Source organism: Homo sapiens, chromosome 2, assembly GCF_000001405.40.
Source record: "Homo sapiens chromosome 2, GRCh38.p14 Primary Assembly".
In the NCBI taxonomy this organism is placed as follows: Eukaryota; Metazoa; Chordata; class Mammalia; order Primates; family Hominidae; genus Homo; species Homo sapiens.
This window is the reverse complement of record NC_000002.12, coordinates 16,961,613-16,979,793: the sequence shown is the minus strand read 5'-3', so window position 1 is coordinate 16,979,793 and position 18,181 is coordinate 16,961,613. Positions and strand designations below refer to the sequence as shown.

The 18,181-nt window shown below is 38.5% G+C and overlaps 1 long non-coding RNA gene across 1 annotated transcript; it reads right to left on the bottom strand.

Moving 5' to 3' along the window:
* Positions 1 to 4,018: 4,018 nt before the first annotated feature.
* Positions 4,019 to 13,120, bottom strand: LINC01866 (long intergenic non-protein coding RNA 1866). The gene is made up of 5 exons (XR_001739184.2): positions 12,700 to 13,120; positions 9,936 to 10,028; positions 9,717 to 9,794; positions 8,262 to 8,364; positions 4,019 to 6,036 (listed from the first exon to the last, which is right to left on the bottom strand). It is a non-coding gene; the product is annotated as a long intergenic non-protein coding RNA 1866 (long non-coding RNA).
* Positions 13,121 to 18,181: the final 5,061 nt, after the last annotated feature.

Genomic DNA, 18,181 nt, shown 5'->3' with positions numbered 1-18,181 from the left:
GACAAATGCCTTGCTCTGCATTCATGCACACATATTTCACATTGCTTCGGTAAGAATTGCCATGGATTTTTATAAATATCTTCTTTATGAGACCTGAATTCTCTTAAGCCTTAATGTGGTAGTTTGGGCTGCCCTAATGTACTGTGTCGAAAGAGGTAATATTTGTTTTTTTGTTATCGTTGTTGTTTTTGAGATGGAGTTTTTGCTCATGTTGCCCAGGCAGGAGTGCAATGGTGAGATCTCGGCTCACTGCAACCTCCACCTCCTGGGTTCAAGTGGTTCTCCTGCCTCAGCCTCCCGAGTAGCTGGGATTATAGGTGCCCACCACCATTCCTGGCTAATTTTTGTATTTTTAATAGAGACAAGGTTTCACCATGTTGGCCAAGCTGGTCTTGAATTGTTGACTTCAGGTGATCCACCTGTCTCGGCCTCTCAAAGTGCGAGGATTACAAGTGTGAGCCACTGCACCTGGCCAAGGGGTAATATTTGAATGGTACAATGTTACTGGGCCTCCAGCTTCTCCATGTAGAAGCATACAAAGAACTGGGGCCACAGTTTTGTGCTTTCAGGCTTTTTTTTTTTTTTTTTGTGAGACAGGGTCTTGCTCTATTGTCCAGGCTAGAGTACAGTACCATGATCATGGCTCACTGCAGCCTTGACCTCTTGGCCTCAAGCAATCTTCCTACCTCTCAGACTCCGGAGTAGCTGGGACTACAGGCATGCACCACCACACCTGGCTGGCTTATTTTTTGATTTTTTATAGAAATAAGGTTTCATTATGTTGCCCAGGGTAGTCTTGAACTCCTAGGCTTAAACAATTTGCTCATCTCTGCCTCCCAAAGTGTTGAGATTACAGGTGTGAGCCACCATGTCCAACCACTTTTAGGCTTTTTCTCAACAGGAAAGGGAAACTGCACCAGTGTTGTTTACTATACAGACTCTTGAGATTCCAGAAAGACTTTTCTGGTGGGCCAACTATCCTGGGCATTTTGTGCATTGAAGGAAAGGATTGCAAGTTCCTTGTCATTTCTGTGTTCCAACTCATGATGTCATGACAACTGTAGGACCACCTTTCCTGATGCCAGCCTCGGTTGTGAGAGGAAAACATTTCTCCTCTCCTATGGCTCTAACTCCTGACCCTTTCCCCTTATCTCTTGCTCTCACCTCCCCTATTTCCAGTGGCCAAGACTGTCCCTTGCAAAGCAGCTGCAGCATCTCCAATTTTCTGGTTTTTCAACATTTTTCCTGCCATGTCTATGACAGTCTTGAGTGTTCTCTTTCCAGGAGCAGTATTTATAGCTTTTGTTTCCGCACCACTGGTATTTTTCCAGTCTTGGAACCATTCCATTTATTTAGTTGAATGAATTGTCTTTTTCAACTCTTGGAATGTTTCCTTTGATTCTGAGTCTGCTTGTGGTGCTAAAATTTCTTAACAACCTGTTGGCCAAGGCCCCTTCTTTCTCTTCTGCAGAGGGAACCTAAAGCTGTCCTCTGTGAGAAAGAAATGACTGTGGAATTCATTCTTTTGGTCTTCCAGTTGGGTCATCTCTGCTTATCAATCCACACAGTGGAATGGACTAGAGGTGGCTCCTTCATACCAGAGTAGAAGCAACCTTATTTTCCAATATAAATTTATCATCTTTACTAGACTGAAAACATACTGGCCTTGGATAGAAATTAAGTAAAATTTTCTTCTTCTTCTTCTCCTTCTCCTTTGTTTTTGAGACAGAGCCTCGCTTCATTACTCAGGCTGGAGTGCAGTGGCGCAATCTCTGCTCACTGCAACCTCTGCCTCCCAGATTCAAGCGATTCTCCTGCCTCAGCCTCCTGAGTAGCCGGTATTACAGGTGCCCGCCACCACAGCCTACTAATTTTTGTATTTTTCGTAAAGACTGGGTTTCACTGTGTTGGCCAGGCTGGTCTTGAACTCCTGTCCTCAAGTGACACTCCCGCTTCAGCCTCCTAAAGTGCTGGGATTATAGGCGTGAGCCAGTGTGCCCAGATCTTTTCACTTTTATTGGTGGGCTTGTTTGTTACTGTAAGTTAAAGTAAGAGTCTTCAGAGAATGTAAAACAATTAATCCAGTGACTAATGGGATTAATAGTTTAGCAGTGATCCAGTTGTAGCCAAAAGAGTTAAGTGTTGAATCCCTTCTTGCATCTTACAAACTCTACCACTGTATATTCATATGTCATCAAATTCTCATCTGTTCTAACCTTGCAGCCAGTATGGGAAGTGAGCTCTGATCTGTGGGAGGTCAAGGGTCAGTGGGCTGTTTCAACCCACTTTAGAATCTCTTCAGCAGTGTTACAGCAAGGTTTTATCCTAAAACATGCTTCACCATTAAAAAACAATAATCATTTGGATTTTTATTTTTCTTCCAGTATACCATAGTGTAATCTGCATGAGTAATGCTTCATCTTCTGAGCATGAAGAGAATATACTTCTTCCACAATACAATGTTTTGACTCCTTAGAAAATTATAACTTTTTCTTGGTTTGTTGTTTTTAACTTTATCATTCTCATGGGTCACTAAATGATGCTTCTGCAAAAGGTGGCACTCTTCCCCCAGATGCCTGCATGCAACCATCACTCCCTTAATTCACATCTCTGCTCAGATCCTACCTTATCAGAGAGACTTCCCACGACCCAATATATGAAGCTCCTCTCTCCAAGTATTATCTGTTCCTTTGATAATAGTAGGTGATCCAAGAGAGAAAAGTAGATGGATGAGGATAAGGGTAAAGCTGTTTTCCCTTTTGTGTTTTTTGAAATTTTTGAATGATATAAACATATTATACATTCTAAAAAATTTTTTTCAGTTAAAAAAAACTAGATCTAAAAGTGTATTCCTGTGTTCCCAAAGTTTTTTTTTTCTTTTCTTTTTTTTCTAGTTTCCAGTTTCTCCTGTGCTAATGAGATGGGGCGGTCTCACTTCATTCCACAGCTAAGCCTTGCAGAACTGCCTAACTCCATTCTGGAGGATGTTGCATGGCCCAAGCTCTAAGGGCAGGTGATCTGGTGACTTCAGTTTGAGTTTGGTTGTGTTGTAGGAAGAGGGAGAGAGGCTGTCTAGGCTAAAAGAGTGTACTGGTCTCCTATTGCCACTTTAACAAACTAATCCAAATATAGTGGCTAACAACAACAGAAATTTCTCTTACAGTTCTGGAAAACAAAAATCCAAAATGGGTCTCACTGGGTTAAAATCAAGGTGTCAGCAGGGATGTGTCCCTTTAAAGGCTCCTGGGAGACTACATATTATTATTAGCACACAAGCCAACATATCACACCCAGAATCTCAGGTTCATGCACCGATGTCAATAAATTCAACCCAATTCAATGATATATTCCTCTTAGTTTAAAATCCTTAGAATTCCCATGTATATCACTCAGTTTTCTGCCAATACAAATATAAAAATCTTGCATGTCTTTAGGAGTATGAGCCTTCTTCTATGCCAGCCTCTGTGCCTTATCCCCCTTGAGTATGCTGAGATCCGACTCTATTTCAACCTTTAGATGTCAGGAGGGATGGGTGTAGATCTTGAGAAAAGTAAAACCCTCCTCACAAAGCCATTGGCTTAGGTGACCTTATTACAAGCAAGAGAAGACTGGTCTATTCTGTTATGGAAGAACGGGCTGCATCTGCTGGTAAGAGAGCTTAAGAAAGATGTGGGGATTTGGCAGGGCGTGGTGGCTCACACCTGTAATCCCAGCATTTTGAGATTACAAAGTGGAGGCTGAGGTTGGGCGGATCACAAGGTCAGGAGTTTGAGGCCAGCCTGGCCAACATGGTGAAACCCCGTCTCTACTAAAGATATAAAAAATTACCTGGGCTTGGTGGCGCACACCTGTAATCCCAGCTATTCAGGAGGCTGAGGCAGGAGAATTGCTTGATCCCGGGAGGCGAAGGTCGCAGTGAGCTGAGATCATGCCATTGCACTCCAGCCTGAGTGACAGGGTGAGACTCCATCTCAAAAAAAAAAAAAAAAAAAAAAGATGTGGGGATTCAGTATTCTCAGCTTCATTCAGGTTTTTCTAGATACCCCATTCAAAGTCTCAGGAACCCAGTCTTTTCACAGAACTTCTAGGTTTCATTTGTAAAATGTAATGAATCTATAAATCCAAGGGTTTTTTATTTTGGTAATTGTGCAATGTATAGAATTAAATTATACTTTATTAATTATTTTATAAGGATTTTAGAAGCTTTTTATGACTAAGACTTGCACTAACAATTTAAAGCCTAGTGAACTTGGTATTTTTTTTTTTCAAGAACTCCAGTGCAAGCATCCCTGTTTTTAACATCAAGGATATGGCTGCTGGCAGCTTCTCTGAAGGGGTACAATGAGGCTGGTTCTGAAAGTGCTAAAATAAGTTGGAGGCTGGACCAAACCTCTTCCCCTGGGTGGTGTTAATAACAAGACACAGGAAAGAAGTGTCTTGCTCTCCTCTGCCTCCAGTCTCCCTTTATTACTTCCTACTGGCAAAACCTAAGAGAACACTGCTGAAAAAGTTGTCTTGGAAATCTAGGAGGATGGCTCTTAGGTCATAATATAGAATAGTGAGCTTGGAACAAAGAACCATCAGGCAAACATTTGGAACAGAATATGCCATAAAAGTGTGTATCCTTCATTCATAAGATTTAGTATCTAATGTCAGTATCTCCTACCTTGGTCTCTACGTTCCAATAAGACAAGAACACTGACTGGCTTTGTTTATTTTTCTATTACCTAATACACTGCCTGGTTTAGAGTATGCAATTCAGTAATACTTGTAGAATGAATAGAGATAATCTTAAATTTAATAAAGGATTAATGTTTAAATATCCTTAGGATTTCTGCCAATAGCCTTCCACAAAGACAATACATTCCTATAAAACTTCTTAATCTACTTTCTCCCATGTGTCATGTCAAAGTTGAGTGTAGCAAGAATCTAGTCTGCCTCTAAGGTCCATGCACATGAGTCAACCTTAATATCATCAAAACTGAATATTATGAGGGTTGTTGAATCAATCAGGAAATGTGAACAGTGGTTGACTGCTTTCTCCTTATTATCCTTAGAATATTCTCCTTAGACATGTATTAAAGCATATGGGAGGAAGAGAAGAAGAGAATTGATGAGATTGCCATCTATCTCACTCTCTTGTTAGTTAACTCCAACTTGTTTGAAATTAGTTATATACAAATCATTTGATAGACACATCACAACCTGAATAAACTGATCATATTAAGGAATAAGACTTTGACAAAATGTGCATTCTTAGACATTCCTGCTCCTCTCTAGACCTCAGTTTACTTACATATTCTGCAAGAAGCTTGAACTAGGAGTGGCCCATTTCCATGGCTGAGGCATACTTGTGAATAGAAGCAAACGTGGTGAGAGTCAGAGAACAGAGTAGAAGATCTGAAATGCTAAGATAATGAAGACAGAGAAAATGTTATTATCAAAATTGTATTTTGAGAAAATGAACGTGGGAATAGGTATCAGATAGAAGAGCGAGGAAACAAACAATAGGAGGCTGCAGAGTACAGTCATTTAAGTTTGAATCTCTAAGAGTCAACACAAGAATAAACAGAAAAAAATTTAATTTGTAAGATAGAAGTTTAAGCATTCAGTTTCCCTTACTAATAGGAACATATGAACTTGTTTTTTCCTTTTGTGGCACAACTAATGGGCCTGACTAATGCAAAATAAGTTTGGATGTTAATTTTTCATGCATTGTCAGCATATTTCTGAAGCAATCTTACCACCTGATTATATATTTAGAATGTTTCAATCTAATGTGCTCAAAGGAATCTGTTCTCTCTTCCCTCTTGAGACTCTTCTCAGGACTTGGGATTAGTGTAGCCTGGTGGCAGTTGTCTCAGTCCCTTGGCACACCTAGCTGGCTTAAGTTGGGTTTCTTGATGTAATTCTCATTTAAGTTGTGGACAGCAGCATCTTTTGACTGCTGGCTTATTTCTCCATGGCATTTCTTTTCTTCATCTCATACAGCTTTGGAAATCATCCAGGGCTTTGTGGTCAGTGTGTTTCTCAGCTCTGTGGGGAGGCAGAGAGGACTGAGAAGTCATCAGATTCCTTTTTCTCTCAATCCTTAATTAAACCAATGAGCCTCTATGTTTCCCTTAGCAGTTAAAGCCAATGATGAGGAATCTTTCCTCGAGGGAAGCAATGTCCGATAAAATTCTCTGTAATAATAGAAATATATCTGTGTTGTCCTATTTGGCAGCCACTAGCCACCTATGGCTGTTTAAATTTTCATTTAAGTTAATTAAAATTAAATATTATTAAAAATTACATTTCAAGTGTGCAATAGCTGCATCGGCTTGTGGCTCTCATATGCAGTTTAGGGGGATCCAGATTGTTGATGTATTCTGTCCTCTGTGGCTGCCTAGAAAGTAATATTACCCTCAAGCGAAGTTTACCTTTCCTCTTAAAAATATAATTGCTGCCCTACACCTGGGAAAGGTCTGAGGACACATAGCAATTTCAAACTCTGCACTGTCCCTAGTTTTCCTGATTGCAATGCTTCCCTCTGTCTCTGGCTTTCTAAATATATCCACCACTCAAGACTCTGTTCAAATATCATCTGCCTTGAAAATTTGGTCTGTACAGATCTGCTTCTAAACTATTACAGAGTTTAGCATTCAATTATTCTCTTGCTATTTTTTATCTTTAGTCATGGCATCTCTAATTATATCATAACAATTACTCCAAATAGGACTTGGACCCCATCACTCCAAGGAACTTTCTTGCGATGGTCACCAAAGTTAGTGACTTTGACATTGCCAAATCCTATGATCGTTTCCTTACTCTTACTCAAACTCTCAGCAAGATCATACATTGATCATTCTACTTTTTAAAAAATCCATCATTTTGCTAGCTTTTGAGACACGATACTTACTCCTCTGATTCTATTCCTATCTCCTTATCAGCACTATTCTCTGTTTTTTCCCCTTTTCTTTTTCTTTAAATCTCTTTCTCAATTGCAATCCAGAAGTCTCTTCTTTAATTATCTTTCCTTAGGTGACCTCCACAGTTCACCTAGCATTAAATAATATCTATATGCCACTGACCTAATACTGATATTTCCAGCTTTGGCCTCTGCCAGAAAGCACAGACTCAGACTCCTATATATAAGGCTTCCTTGATGTATTCATTTAAATGTCAAATATGTATCTAAAATTAACATATTTGAAAGAAAAATCTTGATTCTTTACCAAATACTATTTCTACCCATTCCAGAACAATATGTCCACCCACTCTGTTTTGTCACATCCCAGTAAATGGTTTCACCATCTTTCCAATTTCCTAAGCCAAAACCTTGGAGTTATTCTTGATGACTCACTTTACATAATTCCTCATAAGCAATGCATTGGCAAGTCCTCTTGGATCTCACTTCAGAACATTAATTTTGCTAATAAAACCTCTTCTCTGCATTTTCACTCCTATCATCCTCATCTAAGACGCAGCCATTTCTCCATTCCCTTCTCCCATTTCTTAGCTGAACTAACTATTACCTAGGTGATATCTTTTCTCTTATGTTCTTTTACCATTTCTTACCTGGACTATTAAAATAATTTCCTAAGGGCTTAGCTGTTCCATAGTTTATAACTTTATCTTTAAAAAAATCCAAACTTCCGGAGTATAAAGCCCTTCACAGTCCAGTTTCCAGCTTCCTCTACAACATCATCTCTTACCAGTTCCTCACTCTCTCATGCAACTCCTGCCACACTCAACTGCTTTCTGCTCTTTGGTCATATAGAACTCATTAACCAGTTGTTTCTCTGGCTGCAACACTCAACAGCCTCATTGTTGCCTGGATGGTTCCTTTTTATTATTGAGGTCTCAGGGGAAAAAAAGTCCTTGTCATGGTCGTCTATGACCATTCAGTCTAAAAAGTACCTTGGTTTCTCTCAGCCACATATTCCTGTTTCAAATGCCTCATTGTACTTATCATCCGTAACCTGAGACGTTTTCATCATGTGTTTGTTTAAAATCACCCTTCTCCCACAGGAAGGTATCTTCATAGAAGGTAGAAACTTGTCTTTGTCACTGGCTCTATCCTGCAAAACTAAAATTGGGCCTGACACACAGTAGTGTCTTAGTCTGTTTGTCCTGATGTAACAGAATATCTGAGACTGGGCAATTTATAATAAAATTTGGGATGCTGAGAAGTCCATGTATTAGTCTGTTCTCGCATTGCTGTAAAGAACTACCTGAAACTAGGTCATTTATAAAGAAAAGAGGTTTAATTGACTCACAGTTCAGCATGGCTTGGGAAGCCTCAGGAAACTTGCAATCATGATGAAAGGGGAGTCAAACACATCCTTTGTCATGTGGCAGCAGGAAGGAGAAGAATGAGAACTGAGGAAAGAGGAAAGCCCCTTATGAAACCATAAGATCTCGTGAGAACTTACTATCACAAGAATAACATAGGGAAACAGCCCCCATGATTCAATTACCTCCCACCAGGTCTCTCCCATGACATGTGGGGATTATGGGAACTACAATTCAAGATGAGATTTGGGTGGGGACACAGCCGAACCATATCAGAGGCCTTAAGAAATTTTCAACTATGGCAGAAGAGTGAAGGGGAAGCAAGCATGTTTCCACATAATGGCAGGAGAGAGAGCTAAAGGGGAAGTGCTAAACACTTTTAAACAACCAGATTTCATGAGAACTCACTCACTATCACAAGAACAGCAAGGGGGAAATCCGCCCCCATGATCCAATCACCTCCCTTCAAGACCCGCCTTCAACACTGAAGATCATAATTCTATATGATATTTAGAGCCAAACCATATCAGTCCAAGATCAAGGGGCTTGTACAGTTCTGAATGCTGGAAAGTCCACGATCAAGGGGCCTGAATCTGGTGAAGTCCTTCTTGCTATTTCATCCCATGGTGAAAAGAGGAAGGTCAAGAGAGGAAGAAAGGGGGCCAAATTTCCCTTTGATAACTGCACAAATTCCCTTCATGAGAGTGTAGCCTCACGGCTCAATTGCCTTTAAGTGTCCCACCTCTTAATACTATTACAATGGCAATTAAATTTTAACATGACTTTTGGAGAAGACAAACATTCAAACCATAGCAGTGGGTACTCAATATTTATTACATGAACAAATTCATGAATTTTTCAAGTAGAAAGCACTTAAGAAATTACAAGAAGCTTTGTGAACTGCTATATAATTGAATTTTTATAAACAACCTGTAGAAAAACAGTATTACTATGCACACTTTGAAGACAGAGTTCATAGAAGTCTCTTGATGTCGCCAGGGTCACAGATCTTAATAGGAAGAAGGTGTCTATAGACTGTTTACATCCAGTATAAATCTAGAACAACACTTAGTGCAAAACATGACATATAGTACACATCAGCAAGATGTGCTGAATGGCTTAATTATATCATAGCAAAAAGTTGGGCTCATGCCTTCTTTACGTGTTACTGTAATTTGTAACACAGTATCTGTAGTTAATAGACAGTCTGGTACATTTTATTAAAGAATTAATTGGCAAGTGAATTAATAAATAAGTTACTTAATTTTTATTTATCTTTGATATTCAGTGATTCTACATCATGCATAAATGGGCATTTATTACTTATAATTGGATAACTATGATGTATACCAATTATAACTACTCATTGCTTATATAATTACTTATAATTGGTTAACTATTAATATTTGAAGAAATTTTTAAAAATAATTTCATGATACCTTTTGAGACATGGGAGTATCAGGGTTACAGATTTGGTATTCACTGATCCAATATTTTCATAACATCAGCAATGATGCCTGAATATGAAGCAAAATTTAGATTAATTTGAGGGAGTTCTGGAAAGATGCTGTAGCAACAACATATTTTTTTAAATTTATCTGAATAAAAACTAACAGAAAATTTGGATAGAGAAACCAAAACTCATGAACAACACTTACAACAAAACCAAGCGACAGGTATCCCCATGAGTTCCAAATACAAGTGTGTGAGGGCAGCCTCCCAACAGCGACACAGCTGAACAACATTAGCATCTGTGCTGGCAGAAGCAGAAAGAAGCAAGAGATGTCTGAAGTACCTGAGACTACAACTTAAAAACAGTTAATATTTATTTGCTTAAAAATGCTGTGGACTACTTTTAGAATAGCAGCTGAAACTAGGAATAATTTTGTCCGTTCTAGAAAGAGAATCTACAGTAATGCTTGAAGGAGCTGTTCTAGATTGGCTACCATGAAAATTTAAAACTAAGCTGCCAATGCATCCTTTTCCAAACAGAAGTCCACACTGAGAAGAAACTGCCAAGAGGAGATTTGGCATTGAGCAGATTAGAAATAAGAGGATAAGGTAAAATAATTCTAAGTAAATTGCAGGGAACAAAACAGAGAAGTTTCAGAAAGAAGGCCACGGTATCTTTGAACACTATGTGAAAATTAGAGAGGAGGGAGCTCTGTAAGCCTATATGCTGAAAGCCATCTTCTTCTAAAAGTTGAAAGAAAGAATCATGTACTTATCCTATCTGTTCTGTATGAACTGTACCACCAAGTGTACAAAAAGCATGAGAGAGAGAGACATTGTCCCTTTATAAATGTAGTCTATAATACATACTTTCAGAAAAATAAAAAAGAAATAAAGAATTAGAATGTCACCATTTTTTCAACCTCCAGTGAATTAATGGACCCAGGGACTGAGCACCAACATCTCCTGGCACGAAAAGGGCAACAGCCAGACATCATGTGCCTTATGACAAAGATGACAAAGAACATCACACAACTTCTAGTGTTGCCAAAGGGATTAAACATGAGCCTGATTAGGCTTCTGGATTCAGCTGCTGGTTGCAAAAAATACAGAGGGCAGAAGAAGACGTTGAGCTGTACCATGAGCATTCAATCAGCAAAGTCTAGACTGTGGAAAAATCTATAAGCCAAGTGATCCAGTTTGTTCAACAGATATAAGGAAATAAAATCTTAGGAGTTTTATAGGAGGGGAAACCTACAGATTAAATAACAAAGCTATAATATATTTTTAAACTGGAAGATTAAACTGTAGAGTATAAAGATGTCCACTTGGGTGATAAAATACAAAGAAGTGATTAGTATAATATAAAGATCGAATTAGTGTTCACTTTTGAGGAAAGAGATTGGCCATGATTGGGATGAAGAGGTGTCTGGATTGGCCAGCAAAGTTCTCTTTCTTGAACTGGGTTGCAGTGAGTGTTTATCTAATAATACCTCATTAAGTTATACATTTTATAATTTTTGTGTGTATATATTTTATCTTATAGCAAAAAAAGATGTTACAAATAGAATAATCAACATCTTCGATTTCACTGAGAAATTATGAGTTACTTGGGAACTATAGAAAGGTTTGTAGAGACATGATGTGGCATTTGGTTGCTTAGGAATCTTGAACAATTAGGGAGAATCTTGGAGGCCTGGGTAGAGATATAGGCCACAAGAAGGGCTCAAAGTACTGCTGTGTCTTAACTTACTATCTCCTCTGGGTCAAGAGGAGAGAGATCTGTCTGGCACTGTATGACAAAGATTGTGAGTGAGCATTAAGTAAAGCTCTGCTTGAAAAAGACACTGGGGGCTAATCACTGTGCCTTTCTAAACAAAAGTCGGCAGGTATTCGAAAGGCAGAAGCCTGCAGATATCCAGGAAGAGGCTGAGTCAGTGTAAAATGCCCCTAATTAGTGTGCCAAGCTCTCCACTAGACCCTGAGGTGAGCAATGCCCTGTGCCACACAATCAAGCCATGCCATAGAGAAATGTAAAAACCAAAGCCTCTGTGTATGTTATTGTTTCTCTTCCTTAGGCATAAACAAGTTATAGAAAAGATGATTCTCTCAGAAAGCATTAATTATGTAATATTTCAGTGTTGGAGAGAGGGAAAAGTACAGCAGTGAGTAAACTGGCCTTCTCGGAAGTACCTACCTATTACTAATTGAGTAGAAAAATCTTGCAAATAATCACTGGCCCAAAATCAGTAGTATTGATCAACCCCATAAAATGGTGCCATCATTTATTAACTTGTTTTAAATTCATCCACTTACCTCTATTACTCCAGGCCACTATCATCTGTCTTATAGGTTACTGGAAGTAACCTCCTGACTGGTCTCCCTGTTCTTGGTATTATTACCCCATTGAATCTATTCAATATGGTGTAATCTTTTGTGTAAAACTTTTCAGTGACTTTTAGTGACACTTGGGGGAAAAAAACTCGAACTCTATACCACAGCCTAAAATGCTCTAACTGCCTTCCTGAACTTATTTACTATCTATCTTGCCTGTTCTGCTTCTTTTTGTTCTAGAACATGGCAAGTTCAGACTTACCTTATGGCTTTGCACTTCTTGTTTTCCGTACCTGGGATTATGTGTTCCTGAGGTTTCATGTGCCTGGTTCTTTCAAATCGCTCAGCTCCTAGTTCAAGTACTGCCACTTCAGAAGGCCTCACAGAATCCAATTTTACCCATTTATGCCAGAGGTTGCAATTTTTTGAATAACAGACATGTATGAAAAATCAGACCTTGGCGATGACCTTGAGCAGTAAGATATAAATAACTCCCATATGCATAGCATTCCAATAATGGAACACTAGGCATAAATGGAAAGAGTTCTTAGTTTTTCTCATACATCATCATTTTATTTTCATCATTATATATTGACTATATGAAATTATCTTGTTTACTTTTGTTTATTTGTTTACCTGTTCTTTGTCTTGTCTGTTTCTACCTCCTGGGAACTAAATCAATGCGGAAAAGGATGCGGAAAAGGATGTTGCTTGTCTTGCTCTGCATTGTGCCTTCTTCACTGAAGTCCCATGCCTTTCATCACAGAAAATCCTTGAATATTTGCAAATAAATAAATGAAATAGATTACTGTCTGATTTTTGGAATTTCACAGACTGTTTTGGGGGTGCCATTCACTCAACAAGTTCATGTTTTAATCTGTATTATTATCCATTCTAATTTTTTTTACAACTTATTTTGTTGGAAAAGTGACCTACTTATAATTCTCTAAACACACCATTCTGTCTTATTCTTCCATGTGTTTATACATTGTCTTCCATCTCTGGGGTATGCCCTCCATTTAATTCCTTAGTGTCCTAGGTAACTTCTGCCCAGGTGCATATCTTAGTTCATTTTGTGTACTATAATGGAGTACCTGAGACTGGGAAATTTATAAAGAACAGGACTTACAATTCTGGAGGCCAGGAAGTCCAAGGCTGAGGGCCAGCATCTGGCAAAGGCCTTCTTGCTGTATCATCCCATGGGAAAAGGTAGGAGGGTAAAATAATACATACACAAGAGAGGGAAGGAGTCAAACTCATCCTTTAATCAGGAACCCACTCCTGCAACAACTAATGCACTTCCAAGATAACAGCATTAAGCCATTCATGAGGGCAGAACTCTCATGACCTAATCACATTTTAAAGATTCCACTTCTTAATACTGTTGTATTGGGGATTACTTTTCTAACACATGACCTTTGAGGGACATATGCAAACCATAATACACATGCTTTGTAATATTGATTAGCCCTATCTTCCAGTTTATTATCCCATCTTCTCTACTACTTTGGAAGTTTGTGCATTATCTTACTCTATTTTAATACATTTCACAGCATTATGTGCTTATTTTTTACATATCAATATCCATTAAATTGTAAAGTTAATGAGAGCAGAAATGAAACAATATTTATTAATATATTTCCAGTACCCGGCACATGATAAGGACTATGACTTAATATGTGAATAAACTCAGGTTCTAATTTTGCATGGGTTAACTTGGGCAAGGATAGGATATATGGCTTGATACTAGCTTTAAGATTTTAGACTGTTAATATTTTTTTCTGATATAAAGTATTATGGAAATGGTTATGTTTTCTAGTTTTAATGTGTATATATATTCCAGTGGAACAACCCAAAAGGGACTATAGGAAGACTTTTTCTATTCTGTATAATCAAATTGAATTTAGGGTTAGGAATGTGGGCTTCATGTCCCACAAAATATTTCAAATCACAGTTTAATTTCTATTGACATTGCTTTCATTTTGGCATCTATATAAACTTTATTTCATTCATGGCATGTTCGTTTTATAGACTGAAGCATCAGCTTTTGAGGGTTCTGTCATCATGTCTACATAGTTTTCCTATGCGTAAAATAAGAGTATACCATGGGAATTTCTGTACAGCAAAATAGTTAAGACCAAAGCTTTTGAACCTAGACTGAGTTGAAATCCTAGCTCTGCCACTAGTCAGCTTTGTGTCCTTGAGCAGGGTAGTTAACCTTGTTTATTGCTAGATTTTCTTTTCTGTAAAATGGGGGCTAATATCAGTACCCATCATCTGGCCAGGAGCAGTGGCTTATGCCTACAATTCCAGCACTTTGGGAGGCCGAGGCAGGCAGATCACTTGAGATCAGGAGTTCAAGATCAGCCTGGCCAACGTGGTGAATCCCCCTGTCTACTAAAAATACAAAAATTAGCCAGGTATGGTGGCGAGCACCTGTATTCATCCCAGCTACCTGGGAGGCTGAGGCAGGAGAATCGCTTGAACCTGGGAGGTGAAGGTTGCAGTGAGCCAAGATCATGCCACTGTACTTCAGCGTGGGCAACAGAGCAAGACTGTCTCAAAAAACCAAACCAAACCAAACAACAACAACAGCAACAAAACAGTACTCATAATATTAGGTTATGATGAGAATCAATAACCAACACATAAAACGTCCTTAAACAGGGCAACGTACATAGTAAGCACTCAACATATTGTTATTAGTGTTCTTTCAGAAGGTATAGGAAACCAGTGTTTTCATACCATGCTGATCTTGGACCCTGAGAACATTTTTTTTTTTTTTTGACACAGGGTCTCACTTTGTCACCCAGCCTAGAATGCAGTGGCACAAAGATAGCTCACTGCATAGTTGAACTCCTGGGCTCAAGAAATCCTCCCACCTCAGCCTTTCTAGTAGCTGGAACCACAGGTATGTACCACCATGCCCAGCTAAATTTTAAAATTTTTTTGTAGAGACAGTGTCTCACCCTGTTGCCCAGGCTAGTCTTGAATTTCTGGGCTCAAGTGACCCTCCTACCTTGGCCTTCCAACCTGAGAACTTTTATATTTCTTAGAAAGTTTGTGGTAATCTGAATCATATAAAATATTTTCACACTTTAGCCTACTAATTACCTCTAGAACTATCTTCAAAGAGATATGAACATGATCAATGAGACATTACTTAAAATAAAAATTGGAGCCATGATTAATTGTATCAGGTCATTCTTGCACTGCTATAAAGAAATACCTGAGACTTGGTAATTTATATATATATATATATATATATATATAAAGGAGTTTGACTGGGTTATGGTTCTGCAGGCTGTACAGGGAGCTTGATGCTGGCATCTTCCTGGCTTCTGGGGAGGCCTCAGGAAACTAGCAATCATGGCAGAAGGTGAAGGGGAAGCAAGCCTGTCACATGGCTAGAGCAGAAGCAAGAGAGACAGAACAAGGTGCCACACGTTTAAATAGCCAGATCTTGTGAGAAGTCACTCACTATTGTGAGTACAGCACCAAGGGGATGATCCTAAACCATTCGTGAGAAATCCATCCCCATGATCCAATCATCCCTCACTAGGACCCACCAGAATACTGGGGATGACAATTTAACATGAAATTTCGGGCAGGGACACAGATCCAAACCATATTATTAATATTTAAAAATAGACCAAGCAGTAATCATTTTTTAATGGAGTATCATGTGATTCTTAAAATAAGAATTACATAGACCATATGAAAACATGAAAAAAATCCTAATAATGTTGAATAAAATATTCAAGATTTAATATGCAGATTACAAACTTGTAAAACTCAATTCATACTTGCAGATAGTTGATTTACTTATGTAAAATATTCTTCAAGGACCAAGTGCAGAAAATATAAATGTACACAATGTCTTTTACCTTTTAAATGCTCAATATATATTTGATTGAAAAAAAAGTGACTGAAGTAATGGGAGCAATAGCTCAGCTTTTAAAATTGCATTATAATGAAGCAGTGGTTCTTAACTGCGGGTAACTCCTCCCAACTCCATCTCCAACCCCAGGAACATTTTCAACTGTCACAACTAGAAAACTGCAAGACAAGAGCTACTACTTGCATCTAGTTAAAAGAGGCCAGAGATACTGCTAAATATCATTCATTGCACAGGATAGCTCCATACAACAAAGAATCACCTGGCCCAAAATGTCCACTATGCTGCCGTTGAGAAACCTTGCAATATGGGTATACTGCTCTTTGTCAGAGTACACCGGGGATCTGGTCATCACAGAAAAGGAAGAGACGATATTGTTAAACTTAAATCTAGTTCTTTGGGGGAACCTGCAGAAATTCAGAAGTTTTTAGCATTTATTTGATGGATTGCCTATAATTTAACTTGCATATATCACAGTGATCTTGACATGGGAAAGTGTAATTCAAGTCTTGAATCTTCCCTTAAATTTTATCTTGATAAGACAGATGACCTAGGCCATCTTTTCCAGGTGTACCGTTGTAAGCCATAAATGTGCGTGTCCTCAAGGAAATCGATGGAGAGAACATTTCTTTGATATCTAGACACTTTGCTTCTTATCTGTCCCATTCTCCTCACTTTCAGACATACACACACAATTTAGTGATCATTGAAAAGTTGCTTCACTTCTCTCTGCCTCACTAATCTCATCTGTAAAGTGGAGATTACAGTAGTTTTCCTGCAGATTAGTTCTTGTCTATTAAACGTGTGTGTGTGTGTATGTGTATGTGTATGTGTGTATCTGTGTGTGTGTATGTGCATGCATGTGTATTTGACCACTATTCTATAGAGTACAATGTAACTCTAGACACAAAGTCTCTATATATCTCCCCTTTATTGCCTAAATAGCTCTCTGTGGAGAAGTCTGTCAGTAACAACATAAGATTATTTGTTCTACTCTAAGGATCTTTCTTTGCCCTTTGTCTATGAACAGGAATCAGTCTGGACAGAGCTTCAGGAGCTCAATAGACTCTGAGCTAATGTTGTTCATTCAGAATCTGCATCTTCAGACTACAAAGGGGCCCATCAATTTTATCTCAGACCTGGAGCAGCTGTATTCAATTAACACTGTGTCACACAACCACCCATTCTGGGACCAACCCCCATCCTTTGTCTCCACTGAGACTTGCCTTCACTTGGAGAAAGGCCTGCAAACTCGTCATTTATCAGACAGACTCAGCTTTGATAGAAAACTTTAGCCACAGAACTTGCTATCATATCTGTGGGAAATGTTCCAACCCTAAAGATGTGTGGGCTGATTAAAATTTTTATTACCCCTTAAAAATTGAAGATTGAATTTAGTACATACAGAAGCTAAGGGTATCTTATTTGGTTTTAAATTTGACTGACGAAGACCTCTAGCTTCTAAGCTCCTAGTTTTTTGGATTAACTTTTCATACCATAAAACCACTTAATCATGAAAATGGCAGAGTTAACATTCACACTCTCAGTTCAGATGCTGTGAAGAAAAAGGTTGTTTCAGCCACAGGATTAGAGGGGCAAGTACGTGGACTAGGAGTACACACATTCTTCTTGCTTCCTGAGAGGCTCACTTAAAATCTCTTTTGGGAAGAGATTCCAAATCCAAACTCCCAAGCAGAGCCTGTCTCCTCTGGGCAATAAAGGGTGGGATTAACTCTAGCCCCCTCATCCTTTCCCCTTTTATCTCATCTTTGGTGGCCTGTGGCTCTTGTTACCCTCCCTCACTCACTAAGTCTGCTTTTCATTAAGAAATATGCTGTCAAACAATTATACCTCAAGATAGAGAAATATTTGAACCAAAGAATCTAGGAGCTAAAAGAAAAAGCTGGTAGTAAGATATTCAATATATTAAAAAGAAATAGAAACTCAGTGAGATGTGGTTCCATTCCCTGAGAATACCCAACATGTCAGCTTAGGACAGAAATGTGATTAAAAGGCAAATTTCCTGAGTCCCAGACTAGAACTCTGTATTAAAGCTATGATTTACAACAATGAGAAGTAGGTTTAATTTAGTCCATACACTAAGCCCAATATAATTTGCATGATGAAGGAAAATATTTTTAAAAAGTATTCATGTGAGAATAAAATGGAGAAATGTATTGGGCCTTTAAACTTGTTTAAACATCTTTTTGGGCTATTGTA